Consider the following 23877-nt stretch of genomic DNA (forward strand, 5'->3'; position numbering starts at 1 on the left):
AAATTATAATCCACAAGGTAGAAAAGGTCTTGCAACATTTGAAAGCCTTGAACCACTGTGAGTGAGGGGAGGACTGACTACAGGTTGGAAGGTGGGCAGGGACGAGGCCGTGCATGAACTCACAGACTCTTCCACTCAACGATATGAGAATTTGTTCTCTGTCCAATGGGAAACCATGAAGAATTTTGAGCAGAGGAGTAACATGATCCAATGTATGCTTTAAAAAGGTCACTCTAGTTGCTATGTATTGAAGAATGAGTTTGGAAAAGGGCACAAGAGGGAGAAGGAAGACTGATTTGGAAACCATTACAGTAACCTAAGGGAGAGTCAAGGTATGGCTGATTTAGGGTGGTCTATGAGATAATAGGAGTTAAAGTAAAAAAGACTTGATAATGATTGGTATCAGTGTGAGAAGTATCTAGGGAAGCTGTCAATTTCTGATTTAAGCAGCTGAGAAGAAAGTGTCATTTGCTGAGATAATCAGAAGTTCTGATTTGAATATATGTCTATGAATCATCTAAGAAGAGGGTATAAATGATAATAATTTTTAAAAAAGAATTAGTAAATACTTATTAAATGTTCACTGTATGGCAAGCATAGTTTTTAAGTGCTTTAAATATATTAATTCATTTATTATCAGAAAAGCCCTATAAAGGATATGCCAATTTAGAAATAAAGAAACAGAGGCACTGAAAGGTCACATAACTTATGTAGGGTCACACAGCAAATACGTTACAAAATTGGTATTGAACTCTATGTTTCTGACTCTGACTCCAAAGCCTGAAAGCTTAACCACTCCAGGGATTTCTCCCTTTCATCTTTAAATAAGCAGCTAGATATAAGAGAACACTGCACAGAACAGGATTCCAGAGCTATTCATTTGGGAATCAGCAGCACAGAGGAGGAATTTAAATCCAAGGGAATGGAATAAAGTGTAGAATAAGAGAAGGATCCCTGGAATGATCTGGGAAGAGCCACAAATAAGTCTGAAAAAGAATGGCCAGAGAGGTGGGAGGAAGCCAAGAGATTGTTGAGGGATTTCAAGAAGGGAAGGGCCAATTTATTGCATGCTGAGGAAATGTCTCATAAGATCTGAGCTAAGTGTTTGAGGATTTGACACGTAAGATATGAACTAATAGTGTTTGAAGGTTTGGCACCAAATTGGTCATCATTCAACCAAGCAAAAGCACCTGATGTGATGTGTTGAGCACGAAACCTAAACTAGATTAGAGACACCAAGTGTAGAAAACATTCTTGAGCTGCCAGGCTCTGAAATGCAACTCAGAGATGGGGAGATTTCTAAAGGGAAATCTGGGGTGAAAGAGGTAGATTTTTTTTTTATTTTCTCAACTTATGAGATATAAATTGGTATGTTCACATGTTGGTAAGAAAGATCTAATAGCTAGAAAAGGAACTGCTGAAGTTGCAGGAAAGAGAAGAGAAATATAAGGAATGAAACCTGAAAAATAGAGGGCAGAGTCAGAGGGGTGGAGAAGGAAGGGGCCCTGACGGGAGGTGGGCCACTTCTTCCAAGGCACATGCAGGCAGGCACCTCTCTGGAGGGTCCCATGGCTGGCTATGTGTGACAGTGCATGAAATAGTCACTGAATATGCTCCCTTGCTGTCCTCTGCTTGTGCTCACCGAGGAGTGACTGTGTCTACTGGAAACAAGTTTGCCTTTTCACTGTTCTAAATAAAAGGATCAATGACCTCAAATCTAAAGAGCATCAGGAAACCTCTGAAGCACAGAACTGTACCAGGCATGTCAGGCATTCAGCAAAATTTAGGAACAACTATCTTTTTCATTCCACACCGTTGCCCAGTCCCATAGAGAAGGGGAAATTCCTGTGATCCAGGAAGATAATCCAGGAGATGTCACCTCAGCCAGTAAGCCACCCTCTGAGAACCCAAGTATCTCCCAATTTCCTGTTCTGAGAGCTTTTCACTCTTTCTTATCTCTGGTTTGTTGTAAGTACTAGAGGAAGACAATGTAATTATAATACTCACAGGAAGATACAGATGACGATGCAACTCCCAGGATATTTGCAATCGACAAGAGACCACTTAAACTTAATGAATCTCTAGAGAAATATAAAGAGAGAAGATGATCTGTGGTCCATGAGTACTTGCAAGGGAGCTGTCTATTCTGCCCATTCTGTCTGATCTGCCTATCAATCAGGATGGCCCTGTCTACATGGGAACACACCAGATACACACATCCAGGCACACGTGCACACAAATATATATACTCAAGACACATTCCCAGACACATACTAACACATCTATCCACATGGCATGCACATAAACACACAGGTACACACAAACGTAGATACACATGCACACAAAGTTTGTGCTACCTTAACTAAGTACCACGTATGGTGAAGATCAGTGTGGCTGACAAATGGGCAGGAACAAGAATATGTAAAAAATTCTAAGTCAGAGCAAATAGTTTAGATGTATTATTCTAAATGAAATAAAAAGCAATAAGGAGTTTTAAGTGGAGAAGTGACCTGAACTGATTTCGTTTTCAAAATGCTCCCATGGCTGTAATGGAGAATACTTACAGGGGCCAGAGAAGACTTACAAAGCAAACCTATTAGGAGGCTATTACAGTGATCTAGGTGGGAAATAGAGGAAGGTTGAACTGGACTGGCAGCCATGGAGAAGAAAGTTTGGTAGATTCAGGTAGATTCTTTGGTAGAAAGACATGTTGACAGGACTTGTCCAGGGATTAGAAACAAGATAAGGAACAGTTTAAACAAGTGGGTAGCCCGGGCGCGGTGACTCATGCCTGTAATCCCAGCACTCTAGGAGGCCGAGGCGGGCGGATCACCTGAGGTCAGGAGTTTGAGACTAGCCTGGCCAAAATGGCGAAACCCCATCTCTACTAAAAATACAAAAATTAGCTGGGCGTGGTGACACATGCCTGTAGTCCCAGGTACTCGGAAGGCTGAGGCTGAAGAATCGCTTGAACACGGGAGGCAGAGATTGCAGTGAGCCAAGACCACACCACTGCACTCCAGCCTGGGCAACAGAGAGAGACTCTGTCTCAAAAAACAAAACAAAACTACAACAAAACATAAACAAGTGGGTAGATTTACTTAGAGAAAGCTGGGAGAGAAGCAGGGAGAATCTAGAGTTCTGTTATAGCTGTGGCTCATTTTAAATTCACGTGATCTATGTGACAATGTTAAAGAGAGGCTGGATATATAAAACTGGAATTGCAAGGATAGGTCAGGACTGAAGATAGAAATACAAGAATTATGAGAACAGAGATGGTATACAAAGCATGCTATTGGATGAAGTTGTAAGGTGAGAGTGTCCATAAAGAAGAGTCCCTGAGCAGCTAGAAACCTCCAACATTGTAAGGCATGCAGAGGAGGAGGGGGCAGCAAAGAAAATAGGAAGAACTATCAGTAAAGGATGAGAAGCAGAAGGAAAGCTTTTATCCATTTTCGTCAGTTTTACCAGGATGTAAACGAGCTGAAAAAAAATTATTTTATGTGGTTTCTCTTGCAAAAACTGAGAATTTGGGCAAGCAAAGTTTTAAAGATATGTCCACAAATTATTTGAAAATCCTTCTTCTAAGAAATGGAGTTTAATTTCCCTTTGCTTGTGTGCAGGTTACATTGAATGACTCAATTCTAATTGAATCTGGCAGTGGTAGTGGGATGGCACTTCAGGATTAGATTATAAAAAGAATGTGGCTTCCATGGTGAGGTGGCCCATGTGGAAAGGAGCTAAGATCCTGGACCAATGTTCACTCAAGGCCCAAGGCTCTTCAGTCAGCTGTGGTGAATGCTGCTAGTCTTGAGTCTCTCCCTTCAGGGCAGTGGGCTTCCTTCTGGCCCAGGGAAAGTCTGGAAATGCCTTCCAGAGCCAAGGCCTGGAATAGGGGACCCCAAGAGCCCACTTGGTGCTCTACCCCACTGTGGCCAAGCCAGTACCCAAGCTGCAAGGCAAAGTCCCCTTTACCCTTCCCTCTCCTTTCCTCAGGCAGAAGGAGTCGCTTCCCATAGCCACCACAGCTGGGAATGTGCTGGGTCACACCTGAAGCCAGCTTGGCTCTGACTCACAACCAAGGCCCAAGGTCAATACTGCCTGGTGACCACTGCCCACTATTCAGGGCCCAAGGGGTCTTTAGTCAGCAAGTGATGAATCCTGCCAGGACAGGTCCTTCCCTTTAAGACTGCAGGTTCCCTTCTGGCTCATGATGTGTCTGGGAATATTTTCCAGAAGGTAGGGCCTGGAATGGAGGCCTCAAGACTCTGTCCAGTGCCCTACTCTACTGTGGCTGAGCTGGTATTCAAGATGCAAGACAAAGTCCTCTTCACTCTCCCTTCTCCTGTCCTCAAGAAGAGAGAAGGAGTCAGTCCTGGAGCTGCAAGCTGCATTTCCTGGGGTTGGGGGAAGAGTGATGCAAGCACTCTTGGACACCTCAGCTGATGTCTCAGTAGGTTGTGTGTACATTAAGTCCACTAGCTTCAAGCCCAGCATAGCACCAGGACTTGCCCAGGAATTACAATCCTTGTGGTCTAGATTACCTTTCAAGTTTACATAGAACCCCAGAGTATTTTAGCCTGTGGTGATGAACCTTGCTGGAACTCAGCTTCAGACAACTGGGATGGATGATTTTCCTATCACTAAAGCTGGTCTCCCTGTTCCGTCCATGGGTGCCAGCTGAGTTCAGCCCTGTGTGTGCTTTTTGCTGTGATAGGGCAGCTCTGAGTTCCAACACAAAATCTGACAATCACTGAGTTACCCCTCCCCTAAATACACAGATTCTCTCTGTGTGCCACACGGCCACTGCCAGGGAATGGGGAAAGGCTGGTGTATGCGATTCAAGACTGTTTTTCCTACCTCTTCACTGCCTCTTTCTTTATTATAAGGTTAAAACCAGGCACTGTGATTGCGCACCTGATTTTTCGTTCCTATGGAGGTGTTTTGTTGTGTGAGTAGTTGTTCAATTTGTTGTTCTTATTGGGAGGACAATCACTGAAGGTTTCTATTTGGCCATCTTGCTCTGCCTCCTCTCCCATCCATTCTTGTATTTTACTTTTCTAAGTGAATATTAAGAGCTATTCTTTCTCCTTTTTAATAATTGTTGGCATGAGTTGTTTTTTGTGGGGTGTTTTGTTTTGTTTTGTTTTGAAATGGAGTCTCACTCTGTCGCCAGGCTGGAGTGCAGTGGCATGATCTCGGCTCACTGCAACCTCTGTCTCCCAGGTTTAAGCAATTCTCCTGCCTCAGCCTCCCGAGTAGCTGGGATTACAGGTGCCCACCACCACACCCAGCTAATGTTTGTATTTTCAGTAGAGATGGGGTTTCACCATGTTGGACAGACTGGTCTTGAACTCCTGACCTCAGGTAATCCACCCACCTCGGCCTCCCAAAGTGCTGGGATTATAGGTGTGAGCCACTGAGCCCAGCCAAGTTTTGTTTTTTAATCTTAAAGTCACAGAAAATCTCAGGGGGTAGCTGTGGAATCTGAATTGCCTGTCTTTTGGATAAAAGCCATTTTATCTGAGGTGAGATGATATCTCATTGTAGTTTTAATTTGCATTTCTCTCATGACTAGTGATGTTGAGCATGTTTTCACATATCTGTTGGTTACTTCTATGTTTTTGAGAAATGTCTATATCTTTTGCCAATTTTTAAATTAGATCATTTTTTCCTAGTGAGCAGTTTGAGCTCCTTATAATATTCTGGTTATTAATGTAAGGGCCCTCATTGTAAAAATCACCTTTTCTATATTCAGCATTTTTTTGTAATGTGATCAAACATATTTAGTTACAACTGTTAGCTTCATCTCAATTGTTTCAGTTTTTAAACATTATAATATTAAATATTTTGAAAATACTGAAAAGTAAAAAGAATAAATAAACATTTGTGTTCACACCACTAAGATCCAACAAATGGTAATATTTTGCCATGTTTTGGATATTTCAATTTTTCTTAAAAAATGAAGAATTACAAATACAAACAAAGCTTCCCTGATTCTAGTTCCCTTCTTCCTCTCTATACACAAACATTATCCTGAAATTTGTATGTTACACTGTTACATTTGTGTTCTAATATTTGTTCTATACATATATGTATGCAAATTAAATAAAGTTGAGATGCCAGTACATCTTTGGTACATTGTGGATGAAGGAATTTTAAGGTTTAGAGAAACAAGAATTTGGGGTGAATTTATCATATGTTTAGAGTGAATTTATCATGTGTCTAGAGTAAATTTATCATGTAAGTGATGAAAAAAAGCAAATTGTTTTCCTACTCTCACACACTGCAGAACACTTCACCTCTGGTTCCCATATTTTATGGAAACTTCTCCCCACACACAACAAAGCAGTTCTGTAGTGGACACCAACTGGGCGTTCTACCATTTAAATTCTGATGCTGTCTACCTGGAGTTAGCATCAGATCCCACAGATTAAAGTCTCAGTCCCACAAGACTATCCCCACTTCAGATGCCAATCAGAAACCACAGGGTATGATTTGTGCTTCTGCCCACCTATAGTTGGCTACAAATTGGGTGTTCCCAAAACTGCCTCCCTGGGTTTAATTAATTTGCTAGAATGGCACACAGAACTCAGGGTGAAACACTTTATTTACACTTATCTATTCATTATTAAGGCTATTACAAAGGATACAGATGAACGGCCAGGTGGAAGACGCATTAAGCAAGGTATGGGGAAGGGACACAGAGTTTCCATGCCCTCTCTGGGGAACACTCTCCAGGGACCTCAACATGTTACCAATCCAGAAGCTCTTGGAACAAATAAAGGCTTTAATGTAGACAGGATTGATTAAATCATTGGCCATTGGTGATTATCTCAACCTTCATCCCTGCTCCCCTGCCTGGAGGTTGGGAGTAGATGAGACTGAAAATTCGAACTCTCTGATCACAGGGTTGGTTCCCCTGGCAACCAGGCCCCACCCTAAAGCTATCCAGGAGCTCCCAGCTATCACTCCAATCTTTGGAAATCCCAAAATCCCAAGGGTTTTACTAGCTGTGTGCCAGGAGCCATGATCAAAGACCAAATATTAGAACAAAATATTCTCCTACTGCCCCGTTTACAAAGCTTATAGGAACTCTGTCTCAGGATCCAAGACAGAAACCAATTTATATATTTCTTATTATGGTTAACCACTCACCCACCCACTAACTCTGTTCCAAAAGAATCCCCAGGGAATACTACCTCTACCAATGCATTAAGAAATATATTGGTAAATAAAGAACCAACATCCTGGAAAAGTTCAGTGTCTTCAAATCAGTGAAGGTGTTTGAAAATAATCCCCTTGACACGGCCTCTCTGATTCCCAATCTTAAGGGACAGTTGGTAATTACCAAAATGGGCAACAAGACTAGAGCACCAGCCAAAACCATTTTATCCACAGATACCACTGAGAGCAGCTAATTGATTTTGGTATTCCTAGAACAAATATAGATATCTGTACCATCTATAACATATGAAAAAAATTAGAACTTTCATTTTTGTTAACAGAGTCTTAACTCCAAGCAAGACAATGGAGAATCACAACTTCTCACTAAGTTCCCAGACTTGAGTCATTTCACAAACATAAGTCCCTTCAATAAAAGGAGGACCAGATACCATCAAGACTTCCCACTGTTACACTAACACAAGAAGTTTGTATAAAATTTCTCTCTTGAGTTCCCTCTAAGGCACAGAGCAAGGACCCCACTTAGGTGCCTTCCAGGCCTCTCCCAAGCACGGAAATAAAGGAAAATCTTGAGTTGCTTTGAGAGAAATTTTAGGCACCTAGCGAGCTCTGAGAAGTAAACGAGCAACTTGATAAATAAAAAGGTGATAGTAGCTGTAAACAATAGCCAAGGAAGTTAGAGTCACAAGATGTTTGGTTCCCTGAAGAAACTAAGAATAACATGTTCACATATGTCCCGAGTTGTGTTTCAGAAACCTGGGCCCACACTAAATGGATCCATTGGTACGTAGACCTCAGATAAGAAGGAATTGCCGACTGAACTCCAACTGCTGTTCTTTCTAAGTTTCTTCCTAAGGGGCTTGGAGGTAGTCACACCCATGAGCCATACCTAACGTATCTTTCTGCTGATCCCAAATTTTTAAACAAAGCTTTTCTTCCTTAACTAGTTGCAAATCAGAAAATCTTTCAATCTATCTATGACCTGGAAGCACCTGCTTCAAGATATCCCACCTTTTTAGTCCCAACCACTGTATAACTTACATGTATTGATTTTGAATTTTGCCTGTAACTTTAGCTTTCCTGAAATTGACCCCTGCCTTTAAAAACCTGTGCTTGCAAGCCATCGGTGAGGTCAGGTATTAAGCAGGAGCTGCTAGATTGCCCTTGCTTGGTGCCCTGCAAATAAACACCCTCCTTTCACCTGTTACAAACTTCAATGTGTATGTTTGGCCTTATGCAAGTGCTGAGTGAGTGAAACCCAGTTCAGTTTGGTAACAGTAGTGTGACTGTACACTGGAGAAAGAGAAATACTCAGATTCTTCAGAGATTATTGCACTTGTTCAGAGCTTACAAATTCCCACAGATCCTATATGTCAGTGTGGTCCAGTAGTCAGGGTGGGGGCTTACGGAGGCCAATGACCTACATTAAATAAAGTTGAGAAGGCAGAAATTCTTTGTTGCAATGCAGAAGAAGGAATACAACAATCAGAATCCATCTCACAGTTGAATGAGTGGCTCTGTGAACCCCCTCGTGCTTAGCTAACTATTCAGTTTCTGAATGCAAACTGTACATTCAACAATAGGAAGTATACCTACTTCAGCTCCTTGTTTTATGAAGTAAGGGCTATAAGGTAGGAAGATCAGATGAAAGTGGCTGGAATAGTCCCTTTTTTGAAAATAGAAAGTCACAAACAATATTCCAGAGATTACTGCCACAATCAAATTTGAAAGACTAAGGGGTAAAGATTTCTGCCACCTCCTTGTTTAAATCACCTATGTGGCCTATGGAAAAAAACAGATGGCTTTTACAGAATTATGTGCAATATCATAAATGTAATCAGGTAGTGTTGCTACTTGCATGGTTGCTCAAGATGTGATTTCTTACTGGAAACCTAGTATGCCATTATTAAATCTGGCAAATGCTTTTCCTCTAGACTATTACTTGAGACCATAGAAGCAATTTGCTTCATGTGGCAGAAACAGTACTGTGGATTCCCTATATTAACGCAGGAGCTTTGGCAACTCTCTGGCTCTTTGTCATAACCAAGTTCCAAAGATCTGGATCGCCTTATCCCACTGAACATTATGTTTGTCCAGGATTTTGGTAACATCCTTCTAATTGCACTTGGAATTAAATGTGTAGAAATACAAGCCAGGTGTGGTGGCTCACACCTGTAATCCCAGCACTTTGGGAGGCCGAGGAGGGTGGGATTACCTCGGGTCAGGAGTTCAAGACCAGGTTCGCCAACAAGGTGAAACCCCCGCCTCTACTAAAAATGAAAAAAAAAAAAAATTAGCCACGCATGGTGGCACACACCTGTAATCCCAGCTACTTGGGAGGCTACTCAGGAGAATTGCCTGAGCCCGGAAGGCAGAGGTTGCAGTGAGCCAAGATCGTGCCACTGCACTCCAGCCTGACTGACAGAGTAAGACTCTGTCTCAAAAAGAAAAGAAAGAAAGAAAGAAAGAAAGAAAGAAAGAAAGAAAGAAAGAAAGAAAGAAAGAAAGAAAGAAAGACCATTACACTAAAGCTGAATTTGTACAAATCATCATTCACCTTAACAAATATTACACCTTCTCAGTGTGCAGTTTCCCTTTCTCTGTTTTGTCCCTTTACCTGAAAAATCCCTCTCTTGCCTCACAGTTTTACCTCATTTGGCTTCTCTTAAAGGATGTGCTCATTTTTCTTTCTTAATTTTCTGATCTTTTTTTTCTGTGACTTTTACTGGCTCTGTTTCTTCTCCATTGCCCCTCCCACCGACACACATCGCCAATGTCAGCCATTGCTCATATTCTCTTTACATGATACATATTTTTGTCTAGAATTTATGAGGAAAGTGGACTCCAGTCTAGGAATTTTGAGGAGAAAGAGATTTAATACAGGAAGTTAGAAATGTACGCATTAGGCCGGGCACGGTGGCTCATACCTGTAATCCCAGCACTTTGGGAGCTTGAGGCAGGCGGATCATGAGGTCAGGAGTTCTAGATCAGCCTGGCCAACATAGTGAAACCCTGTCTCTACTAAAAATACAAAAATTATCTGGGCATGGTGGCGCATACCTGTAGTCCTAGCTACTTAGGAGGCTGAGGCAGGAGAATCGCTTGAACCCAGGAGATGGAAGTTGCAGTGAGCCAAGATCGCACCATTGCACTCCAGCCTGGGCAACAGAGTGAGATTCCATCTCAAAAAAAAAAGAAAAGAAAAGAAAAAAAAGGTACACATTTATAAGGCTGGAGGAAGCCCAAATTATTCCAGAAAGTGGCTGGAAATCTAACAGTGAGAGCCCACAGGGGTGTGGTAAGGCCACCAATGAGAAGTCAGACAACAGTTGCCAAGGGATGTAAGGACTGCACCCTCTGAACATCATGAAACTGCCTCACCTTGAAATAATCTACCCTGAAACTATGCAAGAAAGAAATTCTGAGGAATTCGTTCCAGGCTTCTTTCCTATGAGACAAAGGAGAAGGAGGGAACAGACAGGAGCACTGCTGAGTTGACAAAAGACAACCCAGTTGTTTTCAAGGATGTAAACCCACCACCCTAGAAACACTCATCCCTAATCTGAGCCTTAAATTAAAATAAAATTAAAAAAAAAAAACCTGTATCATTCTGATTTTGCCAAGATAATCTCAAACTTGAATCCAAACCAAAATCTTTACAATAGTCTGTCTCCCACTTTTCTCTTCTGACATTGGGATTGTATCCTCCAGAGTCTTCGACTTTTAAATCAGGAGGTCAAATTTTATTTCTTCTTTTTCATAATCTGTGAATCTCATTGTTTTCTACTTTCCATAGTTGATTTTTTTCTTCTCAACCATGCTGCAAGCATAATACTTCAAGTTATAATTACCCATTTCCTATATTTCTATATTCAGATCTCCATGGCTTTGCAGTATATTTGTCAGCCTTTTTGCATGCTATGCAAGTCTAGATTCAAAAATATGGCTCTGCTGATAAAAAACCCTTGTGTAGTTCTCCATGTCCTCAGAATAAAGTCCAAAATTCCCATAAGGCCCTCTGTTCTGCTCCAAATTACGCATGTGCTGTTATCTCTGACAGTCATAATGGGCTTCTCCCTGCAGTGAACACACTGTACTAATGTCCATCTCTTTGATTTATTTATAATTACCATGAACTACAATGCCCTTATCATCTTTTCTCATCAAAATCTGCCCCATCTCAAGTGTGATCTTCCCGTGATCTGCCAGAACTTCAGCCTGCTTTGATGCTTTGCTTTCTCTGAAATCCCGAATCTGTCAACACATACTTTTGCATTTACCCTTATACTATTTTTCAGTGTTGTTTAATTTAATTCATTCATTAATGATTATCATCACTGTGCCAGAAACTGTACTGGGCACTACTTAAATACTCCACGTTCATTTGCTTGGTCTCTCCAACTAAACTGTGACTTCCTTGAGGCCAGGATTATATTTTACATGTTTCTTCTGATCTGTATGTTGTCCAGCCCAACTTATTCTACATACAAGATGTTCAACAGATCTTACTGAATTGTATTAAATTGGTCTCAAATTTGGCAAGAGAAAATAAGAAGATGAATTTATTGAATTAAAAGGGGAAAATAGAATGGAATTAGGAATCATCATTAGACATCTCATTGTCAGATTGGTTCATATTAAACCTCAAGCAGAATAATAGCACAGCCTTCACCACAGTAATTTTCTTCAAATTTTGCCAGAACATAACTTTCCAGAAAGAAAGAGATTTTTAAGTAATGCTTGTGAGGAGAACTTAACAACACAGGGCAGTTAAATTCTCCCACACTTAGTTCATAATATATAAAAGGTAATAGCCCAAAGCTTAATTCTGAATTCTGAAAAATGCATCTATTATTTTTCCTTTAACTGTTCTACCTAAAGAACCCTGCCCTTTGACAAGCTTGTGAACAATGAATTACAAAACAGAGAGAACTTTCTCTTGTCCGTAAGTAATAAATGCTTTCTATCTTTCCTAGTAGATTAATCAAATATCATTACGTATTGGCCTACTTTGTTAAATCTTCTTTTAATAATAATAAGGTCTCCCATTTTTTAAAGCTTTATTGACGTACAAAATGCACAAATTTAATGTCTATAATTTGATAAATTGTGACATATGTATACACCCACGAAACCACTACTACAATCAAAATAGTGAATATAAACATCAACCCCCAAATCCTCCCGGAGCCAACCAGTGATCTGTTTTAGTTACTATAGATTAATTTGAATTTTCTAGAGTTTTACATAAATAGAATCATGCAGTATGTACTATTTATTGGTTAGCTACTTTCACTCAGTATAATTCTTTTTTATTTTTCCCACAATGGGTCATTCCTTTTTGTTGCCAAACTTTTTTCAATCAGCATAACTACTTCGAAATTTATCCATGTTGTTGCGTATATCAATAGTCTACTCCCTTTTAGTATTGAGTAATAGTCTATTATATAAATATGACACAATTTCTTTATCCATTCATTTGTTCATGGAATTTAGGTTGTTGCCAATTTTTTTGGCTATTGCTAATAAAATTGTCATAAACACTATGTATAAGCCATCTATGGAAATACACCTTGTTTTCTCTTCGGTAAATACTTAGGCATAAGTTAGCTGAGTAATATTTTAGGCATATATTAAAAACAATTTAAGAAATTGTCAAACTGTTTTTAAAGTGGCTTGGCTATTTTATGTCCATAGCAATAGTATATGAGAATTCAGTTTCTTCACAACTTCACTAACACTTGGTATTGTCAGACTTTTAAATTTTAGCCTTTCTAGTAAGTGTATAGTGGTATATTGTGGTTTTAACTTATATTTACCTAATAAATAATGACGCTGAGCATTTTTATAGGTCTATTTTCCATTCGTGTATCTTCAATGTGAAGTGTCTCTTCAAATATTTTACCTATTTTAATTGGAATTTGTTTTGGTATTATTGAAGTTGGAGAGTTCTTCATATATTCTGGATATGATCTGTAATCAGATCTTTTTCAGATATGTGTCTTATAAATATTTTCCTCTAGTCAATGACTTTTAAGATTTTCTTCATGGAACCTTCTAATGAGCACTGTTTTTAAAATTTTGATAAACTATTTACCAATTTCTTATTTTATGGATTGTGCTTTAGTATCATGTTTAAGAAACGTTTGCCTAAGCTGAGGTCAAAAAGATTTTCTAATACATTTTCTTCTAAAATAATTATTGTTTTAGTTCTACATTTGTGTATGTGATTTGTTTCAATTACTTTTGTTCATGTTGTAATGTGTAGATTACAGTCGTTTTTAAAAAAACATTTTTTATTTGTGGATTTCTAATAGTTCTGGCACTATTTGTTGAAAAGATTATTGTTTAACCAAAGAATTGTGTTTGTATAGTTGTCAGAAATCAGTTGTTCATGTATGTAAGAGTTTATTTTTGTACCCCCTATACTGTTTCATTTATCTATCTTGACACCAGTACCGGTATCACATTCTTGATAGCATCACAAGTTTGGAAATTCATTAGTATTATCCCTTTATTTTTTTTAATTTTCCACTTCTTTATTTTTTTTAATTTTCCACTTCTTTATTTTACTATGTTAGATCTTTGACATTTTCATATGAATTTTGGAATTAGCTTGTCAATTTCTACAAAAACACATGCAGAGATTTTGATTGGAATTACATTGAACCTAAAGATCAATTTGGGGCAAATTATCATCTTAACAATATTAAGTGTTTTGGTTCATGGACATGCTGTATATCTCCATTTACTTAGGTCTTCCTTAATTTCTGTCAACAGTGTTTTATAGCTTTCCAAGTGCAGGATCCTGCATGTCTTTTTTTTAACCCAGAAATACCTCATTTTATTTTATATTTTTGATATTAGTCTAAACGGTATCATTTTATATAATTTCAATTTATGGTTGTTTATTGATAATGTATAAAAGCTTATTTCGGCTTATTGGCTTTGCATTTTTGTACCTTGCCAAAAATCACTTATTAGTTCTAGTAGTGCTTTTGCAGTTTCCTTTGGGTTTTCTACATAGGGGATCATGCTGTCTGCAAAAACAGACAGTTTGGATGGCCTTAATTTCCTTTTCTTGCCTTATGTAATAAGAAAATTGTCCTATATCTTTACACATCTAGTTACCATTTCCACTTCTCTTCATCCCACTTAGTAAATCCATATTTCCAACTGCCATCATTTTCCATAGATTTCTATTAATATTTCTTGTAGTATGATCTGCAGGTGATTTTTTTTTAGTTTTTGTGTGTCTGAAAAAGTTTTTTTAATTATTTTTATTTAAAATATATTTTCACACAGTAGAGAATTCTAGGTTGACCTTTTTTTCTTTCAGTGTAAGATGTTATCCTGCATACTGTTTTTGTCAAGAAATTGGCTGTCATCCCACGTTTGTTCCTCTGCATATCACATGATTTTTTTCTCTGAAGGCTTTAAAGACTTTCTATGTATCACTGGTTTTGAGCAAATTGATTATATTTTGCCTTGGTGTACTTGTGTCTTTTTATATTCTTGGATCTTTTATATCAATTTTGAAATGTTTTCTAGCATTCTTTCTTTAATCTTTGCTATGCTCCTCTCCCTTGAAGACTCCAATTACTTCTATATTAGACCACTTGAGGTTGTCATAGCTCAATGATTCTCTTTTTATTGTTTTCCTTTTTCTCTCTGTGTCTTTTCTTTTGTATAATTTATGTTGCTATGTCAGTGAAGTTTCTTAACCTTTCCTTCTGCAGTGGCTAATCTGCTTTTAATTCTATCCAGCATATTTTAATGTCACACATTGTAGTTTTCATTTTTAAAAGTCTGAGTATTTTAAAAATTATCTTTCCCATTTCTACTTAATGTTTTGAATACATAGAAAACCTCTATAATTACTCTTCTTAATGTTCTTGTCTGCAAATTTTAACATTTGTGCCAGTTATGGGTCTATTTCGATTGATTATTTTCTTCTCATTATGGATCACATTTTCCTAATTTTTGGAAGGTCTGATAATCTTTGATGGGATGTCAAACGTGAATTTTTTCTTTGTTGGGTGCTGAATATATATGTATTTCTATAAATATTCTTGAGCTTTTTTCTGAATACAGTTAAATTATGTGGAAACAAAATCTAAGGTCTCGTTTTCATAATTTGTTAGATGTCAGTAACATTTATTCTAAGGTTAATTATTTCCCATTACTGAGATGGGACTTTTCTGAGTACTCCATCCAGTGCCTTGTGAATTATGACATTTTCCAGTCTGGCTAGTGACAACAGGCACTATTCCCAGCCCTCTGTGGTACCAGTAGTTCTTTCTCTAATCCTCTTGGATGTGCTAATCAGTACCCTGCGAATACTCAAAGAGGAAACTCCACATCTGTGGAGTTCTTTATTTATGCATGCTGTTCTTTATTTATGCACCTGGGCTGTACCTAGGTTCTCCCTCCCTTCACCACATCCTGGAAACTCTCTCAAAGCAACAAGCTGGGGAAGCAATAAGACTCACCTCATTTGTTACTAGTTAATTAATTAAAAGTCACTGTCCTTTATTCCCTGACGGCCGATATTTTAAAAATTATTGTTTCAAGTATGTTAATGTTTGTTCTTTGTTTGTTTGTTTATTTCAAGCAGGAGGGTAAATCTGTTCCTTGTTATTTTATCTTGGTTGGAAGTAGAAGTCCTATTTTGCTTCTCTTAATGTTGATGGAGATAAATAGATTTAAGATATTTTTTATCTTAGAGAATTAAAGATGAGATATATATACTTGCCAAATTCTTAGAATAAAATAAGATAAAAAATAAACATATGACAATTCTAGATTGTCCTTGATATAATATTTTTCAAAAATAAATGTGTTCAGACACAAAACAAATGAATATAACTGTTGAATATACACACAAAAATTCATAAATACTAGTTAGCAAAAGGCAGAAATATATTAAAATAACAATACGTCATAACCATAAAATTAAGAATTATTTTGGACATCAGTTAATATTGTAGCTCTCTTATAAAATATTTGAGTACAGACTTGGAATTTTAACAAAACTTGTTCAAATCCCAACAATATCACTTACTTGCTATGTAATTTGGGGCATGTTTCTCATCTCTTTTCATGGGCACTTTATCTTGGCTAAAAAACTCACCTCATTAAGATTATAAGAAGAGTAAATAAAGCACTGTTTGGTACACTTGAACAGAAGTTTTGGAATGCCACTTTTTTTTAAGTTACTTTCTAGAATTGTGTAGAAATTGCAAAGTTAGTGGTGATCTGCTCCAATTTCTCACTCTCCAGGGACTTTTTTTCAGAGATGTGCACTCAGCTTTTACTTTGTACACTACCAGTCAAAGAAATTTGTATATTTAAAAGCTAAAGGATTTAGGGTTAGGTGTGAAAGCATTTTATAAATCTAGGACACTATTATACTGTTAGACTAAAAGTACAATCTGATAGTTCACTCAGACATTTATAAGATTTGACTAAGCTTTAAATGCATTCTGCAGATGCAATCTACAACCATTTACAGCTAAATGAGTACTTAGCCCATGCTAACCCAGTGTCCTCTGTCCCAGTCAAGAAGAACAGATGGCCTCCTTTACAGCTGTTTCTCCTTGTTGGAATCATTTTAGGCAATGGCTTTTACTTCATTTAACTGTCTCATAATTCATGCATATATTAATTTATATACACAATGAATAGATATGCAACTGATACATAAGATGTATTGCCTAGGCCTATGCAAAATGCTGAGTGGGAAAAAAATAGCATGATGTTTGTTCCCAAGAAAGACCAGACAGACAAGCAAAGAAAAAAAAAAAAAAAAGGCTGGGCCCCAGTGGCTCACGCCTGTACTCAAGTACTTTGGGAGAAGGAAGTGGGTGGATTGCTGGAGCTCAGGAGTTCAAGACCAGCCTGGGCAACACGGTGAGCCCCTGTGTAGCCTGGCATGGTGGCTCATGCCTGTAATCCCAGCACTTTGGAAAGCTGGGGCAGGAGGATTGCTTGGGCTCAAGAGTTTGAGACCAGCCTGGGCAACATGGTGAAACCCTGTCTCTACCAATAATATAAAAAATTTGCTGATGTGGTGGCACGCGCCTAAGGTCCCAGCTACTCAGAAGGCTGAGGTGGGATGATTGCTCGAGCCCGGGGGTGGTGGGCAGAGGCTGCAGTGAGCCAAGATAATGCCAGTGCACTCCAGCCTGGGTGACAGAGTGAGACTCTGTCTCAGAAAAAAAAAAAAAAAAAATATATATATATATATATATATATATATACACACACACACACACACACATATATATATATATTTCATGTGTGTCCATGTGAAGAGACCACCAAACAGGCTTTGTGTGAGCAACAAGGCTGTTTATTTCACCTGGGTGCAGGCGGGCTGAGTCCGAAAAGAGAGTCAGTGAACAGAGATAAGGGTGGGGCTGTTTTATAGGATTTGGGTAGGTAAAGGAAAAAGGGGGGTTGTTCTCTGGTGGGCAGGAATGGGGGTCACAAGGTGCTCAGCAGGGGAGCTTTTGAGCCAGGATGAGCCAGGAGAAGGAATTTCACAAGACAATGTCATCAGTTAAGGCAGGAACAGGCCATTTTCACTTCTTTCGTGGTGGAATGTCATCAGTTAAGGCAGGAACTGGCCATCTGGATGTGTACATGCAGGTCACAGGGGATATGATGGCTTAGCTTAGGCTCAGAGGCCTGACATTCCTGTCTTCTTATATTAATAAGAAAAATAAAATGAAATAGTGGTAAAGTGTTGGGATGGCGAAAATTTTTGGGGGTGGTATGGAGAGATAATGGGCGATGTTTCTCAGGGCTGCTTTGAGCGGGATTAGGGGTGGCATGGGAATTTAGAGTGAGAGAGATTAAGCTGAAGGAAGATTTTGTGGTAAGAGGTGATATTGTGGGGTTGTTAGAAGAAACATTTGTCATTTAGAATTATTGGTGATGGCCTGGATACGGTTCTGTATGAATTGAAAAACTAAACGGAATAAGAGAAAGAGAAAAACAGGTATTAAAGGTCTAAGAATTGGGAGGACCCAGGACATCTAATTAGAGAGTGCCTAAGGAGATTCAGCATAGTCCTGCCAGCAAAGATTATTTATTTACTTTAAGAGTTTAGAGTGGCAGTTTGGGGATAGCACCAGGAGATATCAGCTGTGATGGCTTGGAGAAACAGTGTAAACCGGCAGTGTAAACAGGAGCAGGGCATGTATGAGTAGTTGAGAACAGTGAATAGGAGTATGACTAGACAGAAGATAGTAGGGATGACAAGTTTTTGGGGGCACAGTCCAAGTTGGTCTGGTGAGACTGGGGCTTAATAAAAAGGAGCGTCCATACAGGAGCTCAAATGGGCTGTACATTGTAGCATTCTGAGGACAGGCCTGAATTCTGAGAAGGGAAAGTGGTAAAAGTATTGTCTAGTCCTTTTTAAGTTGGTGGCTGAGCTTGGTGAGGTGTGTTTTTAAAAGACCATTAGTCCATTCTACCTTTTCTGAAGACTGAGGACCATAAGGGATATAAAGGTTTCACTGAATACCAAGAGCCTGAAAAAATGTTTGGCTGATTTGACTAATAAAGGCCGGTCTGCTATCGGACTGTATAGAGGTGGGAAGGCCAAACCAAGCAATTATGTCTAACAGAAGGGAAGAAATAACCACGGTGGCCTTCTCAGACCCTGTAGGAAAGGCCTCTACCCATCCAGTGAAAGTGTCTACCTAGACTAAGAGGTATTTTAGTTTTCTGACTCAGGGCATGTTGAGTAAAGTCAATTTGCCAGTCCTGGGCAGGGGCAAATCCTCGAGCTTGATTGTGTAGGAAAGGGAGGGGGCCTGAATAATCCCTGAGGAGTAGTAGAATAGCAGATGGAACACTGAGAAGTGATTTCTTTGAGGACAGATTTCCAGGATGGAAAGGAAATGAGAGGTTCTAAGAGACGGGCTAGCGGCTTATAACTTACGTGGAAGAGGTTAGGAAAAGACGACAGAATAGAATGGGCCTGTGAGGCTGGAAGGAGATATTTTCCTTGGTCTAAGAACCATTTGCCTTGTATGGGAAGAGATTGATAGGTGGAAGTTTCAGCGGGGGAGTAGGTGGGAGGGACTGATGTGAAGGAGAAAAACTGGCCTTGAGGGACAGAAATTGGAAAGCTAGCTGCTTGTCTAGCCACCTTATCAGCATAAGCGTTGCCTAGAGCAATGGGATCTGACACCTTTTGATGGTCTTTGCAGTGAATGACTCCAGCTTCCTTTGGAAGTAAAGCGGCCTTGAGCAGAGTTTTTATTAAAGAGGCATTAATGATGGAGGACTTCATCATTAGTGAGGAAACCTCTGTCAGCTTATATAACAGCATGGTGGTGCAGAATATGAAAGGCCTATTTAGAGTCAGTATAAATATTGACGCGTAGTGCTTTTGCAAGAGTGAGGGCTTGAGTTAAGGCAACTAATTCGGCTTGCTGAGAGGTAGTGGAGCGGGGCAGAGCAGTAGCCTCAATGACAGATGTGGAAGATACTATAGCATAGCCTGCCTTTGCTGGTTAGTGGCGATTAGGCCTGGTGGAACTGCCATCAATAAACTAAATGTGATCAGGGTGAGGAACAGGAAAGAAGGAAATATGGGGAAATGGAGTGAATGTCAGGTGGATCAGAGGGATACAGTCATGAGGGTTAGGTGTGGTATCCGGAATAATGTGGGAGGCCGGACTGACGTCTGTGCCAGGAACAATGGCAATTGTGGGAGGCTCAACAAAGAGTGAGTATAGCTGAAGGAGCTGAGAAGCAGAAAGTATATGCGTCAGGTATGAGGAAGAAAATAGATTTTGGAAGTTATGAGAACTGTAGAGAGTGAGTTGAGCATAGTTTGTGATTTTTAGAGCCTCTGAAAGTATTAAAGCAGCAGCAGCCGCTGCACGCAGACATGAGGACTAGGCTAAAACAGTAAGGTCAAGTTGTTTGGACAGAAACGCTACAGGGTGCGGTCCCAGCTCTTGTGTAAGAATTCCAACCACACTAACTATGCCTAGGAAGGAAAGGAGTTGTTTTTTTGTAGAAGGGATTGAGGTTTGGGAGATTAGTCGGACACGATCAGCAGGGAGAGCACATGTGTTTTTACGAGAATTATGCCAAGATAGGTAACAGATGAGGAAGAAATCTGGGCTTGACTGAAGTAATGGGGGCTGTCTGTGAAGCCTTGTGGCAGTACAGCCCAGGTAATTTGCTGAGCCTGATGGGTGTCAGGGTCAGTCCAAGTGAAAGCGAAGAGAGGCTGGGATGAAGGGTGTAAAGGAATAATAAAGAAAGCATGTTTGAGATCCAGAACAGAAGAATGGATTGTGGAGGGAGGTATTGAGGATAGGAAAGTATATGGGTTTGGCACCATGGGGTGGATAGGCAACACAATTTGGTTGATAAGGCGCAGATCCTGAACTAACCTGTAAGTCTTATCTAGTTTTAGGACAGGTAAAATGGGGGAATTGTAAGGAGAGTTTATAGGCTTTAAAAGGCCATGCTGTAACAGGTGAGTGATAACAGACTTTAATCCTTTTAAAGTGTGCTGTGGGATGGGATATTGGCATTGAGCGAGGTTAGGGTGATTAGGTTTTGATGGGATGGTAAGGGGTGCATGATCGGTCGCTAAGGAGGGAGTAGAGGTGTCTTATCCTGGTAGGTTAAGGTGGGGAGATACAAGGGGAGAATGTTAAGGAGGTTTTGAACTGGGGGAAAAGGCGGCAATGAGGTGTGGCTGTAGCCCTGGAATAGTCAGGGAAGCAGATAATTTAGTTAAAGTGTCTTGGCCTAACAAGGGAACTGGGCAGGTGGGGATAACTAAAAAGGAGTGCTTAAAAGAGTATTGTCTGAGTTGGCACCAGAGTTGGGGAGTTTTAAGAGGTTTAGAAGCCTGGCTGTCAGTACCTACAACAGTTATGGAGGCAAGGGAAACAGGCCCTTGAAAAGAAGGTAATGTGGAGTGGGTAGCTTCCATATTGATTAAGAAGGGGACGGACTTACCTTCTACTGTGAGAGTTACCTGAATCTCGGTGTCCATGATGGTCTAGGGGGCTTCCGAGGCGATCGGGCAGTGTCAGTCTTCAGCTGCTAAACCGAGAAGATCTGGGAAGGAGTCAGTCAGAGAGCCTTGGGCCAGAGTTCCAGGGGCTCTGGGAGTGGCTGCCAGGTGAGTTGAACAGTCCGATTTTCAGTGGGGTCCTACACAGATGGGAGGCGGCTTAGGAGGAATCCCGGGCTCTGGGCATTCCTTGGCCCGGTGGCCAGATTTCCCACACTTGTAGCAAGCTCCTGGGAGAGGAGGTTCTGGAGGAATGCCTGGCTGCTGCGGTTCAGGCGTTTGGAAGTTCTTGTGTGTGGGAGATGTGGCTGGGGTTTGTCTCATAGTGGAGGCAAGGAATTGCAACATTTTCTATTATTGTACACCTTGAAGGTGAGGTTAATTAAGTCCTATTGTGGGGTTTGAGGGCTGGAATTTAATTTTTGGAGCTTTATTTAAAGTCAGGAGCGGATTGGGTAATAAAATGTATATTGAGAATAAGACGGCCTTTTGACCTTTTAGGGTCTAGGGCCGTAAAGCGTCTCAGTTGCTGCCAAACGAGCCATGAACTGGGCTGGGTTTTTCATATTTGATGAAAAAGAGTCTAAACACTAACTGATTTGGGAGAGGTCCGATAAAGAAAAAGGGGCATTAACCTTCACTATGCCTTTAGCCCCAGCCACCTTTTTAAGAGGAAATTGCTGGGCAGGTGGGGGAGGGCTAGTCGAGGAACGAAACTGTAAGCCGGACGGAGTGTGAGGAGGGGAGGTGATAAAAGGATTATAGGGTGGAAGAGCAGAGGCTGAGGAAGATTCGGGACTTAGCTCAGCCTGGCAAGGAGGGGAGAGGTCAGGTGGGTCTGTAGAAAAGGAAGATTAGAAAAACTCAGCAACACTTAGGGTTGGGACTGAGGGGACAGGCAGGAGGGAAAGATGGAAGATCTGGGATGAGTTGCATTGGGAACAGAGACTAGCGAGGGACCAATGTGTAAAAGAATGCCTGGACGTCAGGCACCTCAGACCATTTGCCCATTTTACGACAAGAATTATTTAGATCTTGTAGGATGGAAAAATTGAAAGTGCTGTTTTCTGGCTATTTGGAACCACTGTCGAGTTTGTATTGGGGTCAAGCAGCATTGCAGGAGAAAATAAGGCATTTAGGCTTTAGGTCAGGTGTGAGTTGAGGAGGTTTTAGGTTTTTAAGAACACAGGCTAAGGGAGAAGAAGGGAGAATGGAGGGCGGAATCTTGCCCCTAGTGAAGGAGGCAAGCCTAGAGAAAAGAGAGAGTAGAGACATGGAAAGAAGGGGTCGGGGGGGTGGTTCTTGCCCCCTAGAAAAGTGGGAAAGGGGTTGGGGCATGGAAATAAGGGGTTGGGGTGCAGAGATAAGAGGTCGGGGCATGGAAATAAGGAATCAGGGCACAGAGATAAGAGGTCAGGACTTGGAAATAAAGGATTGGGGGGTTCTTGCCCCCAGAAAAGCAGAGAAGGGGTAGAGACACGGAGAGAAGGAGTTGGGGGGTGCTTGCCCCCTAGAAAAGCAGTACTTGCCGCTAAGGGTGAAGGAGAAGGGGTTGGGGGGTTCTTGCCCCCTAGAAAAGTGGAGAAGGGGTACAGACACGGAGAGAAGAGGTTGGGGGATTCTTGCCCCACAGAAAAGCGGTACTTGCCACTAAGGGTGAAGGACCAAGGCAGGCGTCCCCGCATGGTCAGACACCTCTGAAATGTGGGTGAATAATCAGGCAGGCGTCCCCCCGTGATTAAACACCAAGGTAAGACTGTCTTCCTGAGTCCATGACTGGCGCCGGAGTTTTGGGTCCACGGATAAAATGCGTCTCCTGTCTCTATCAGAAAAGGAAAGGAACTGAAATGAAGAGAAGGGAGAGATTGAAGGGTGGAGCCAAGATTGAAAGGAGAAAGTGGTTGAGGGATAGTGACAGAAGTTGGAGAAGAGAGTAAGAAGAGGCTGCTTACCCGATTTACAATTGGTGAGATGTTCCTTGGGTTGGTGGGTCTGAGGACCCGAGGTCGTAGGTGGATCTTTTTCATGGAGCAAAGAGCAGGAGGACAGGGAATTGATCTCCCAAGGGAGGTCCCCTGACCCGATTCACGGCACCAAATTTCATGCGCGTCTGTGTGAAGAGACCACCAAATAGGCTTTGTGTGAGCAACAAGGCTGTTTATTTCACCTGGGTACAGGCGAGCTGAGTCCGAAAAGAGAGTCAGCTAAGGGAGATAGGGGTGGGGCCGTTTTATAGGATTTGGGTAGGTAAAGGAAAAAGGGGGTTTTTCTCTGGCGGGCAGGAATGGGGGTCACAAGGTGCTCAGCAGGGGAGCTTTTGAGCCAGGATGAGCCAGGAGAAGGAATTTCACAAGATAATGTCATCAGTTAAGGCAGGAACAGGCCATTTTCACTTCTTTTGTGGTGGAATGTCATCAGTTAAGGCAGGAACCGGCCATCTGGATGTGTACATGCAGGTCACAGGGGATATGATGGCTTAGCTTAGGCTCAGAGGCCTGACTATATATATATAAATTGAAAATACAAACATCAAACTAGATGTTATGGTAACTAATGCTGAGCTCCAAGAAGAATGAATTGTTGTGGACTAGAGTAGTCAGGAGAAACTTTATGTAATAGGTGGCTGCTGAGCT

At 40.7% G+C, this 23877-nt stretch overlaps 1 annotated feature.

The window, feature by feature from the left end:
- Window positions 23360-23877: an enhancer, noted in NCBI's record as "NANOG hESC enhancer chr7:120422555-120423072 (GRCh37/hg19 assembly coordinates)". NCBI's record gives its function as "activates a minimal SCP1, AML or CMV promoter by ChIP-STARR-seq in naive and primed H9 embryonic stem cells {active_cell/tissue: H9 hESC(naive and primed)}" and the evidence as "EXISTENCE:reporter gene assay evidence [ECO:0000049][PMID:30033119]".

Source organism: Homo sapiens, chromosome 7 (assembly GCF_000001405.40).
Source record: "Homo sapiens chromosome 7, GRCh38.p14 Primary Assembly".
NCBI lineage: Eukaryota > Metazoa > Chordata > Mammalia > Primates > Hominidae > Homo > Homo sapiens.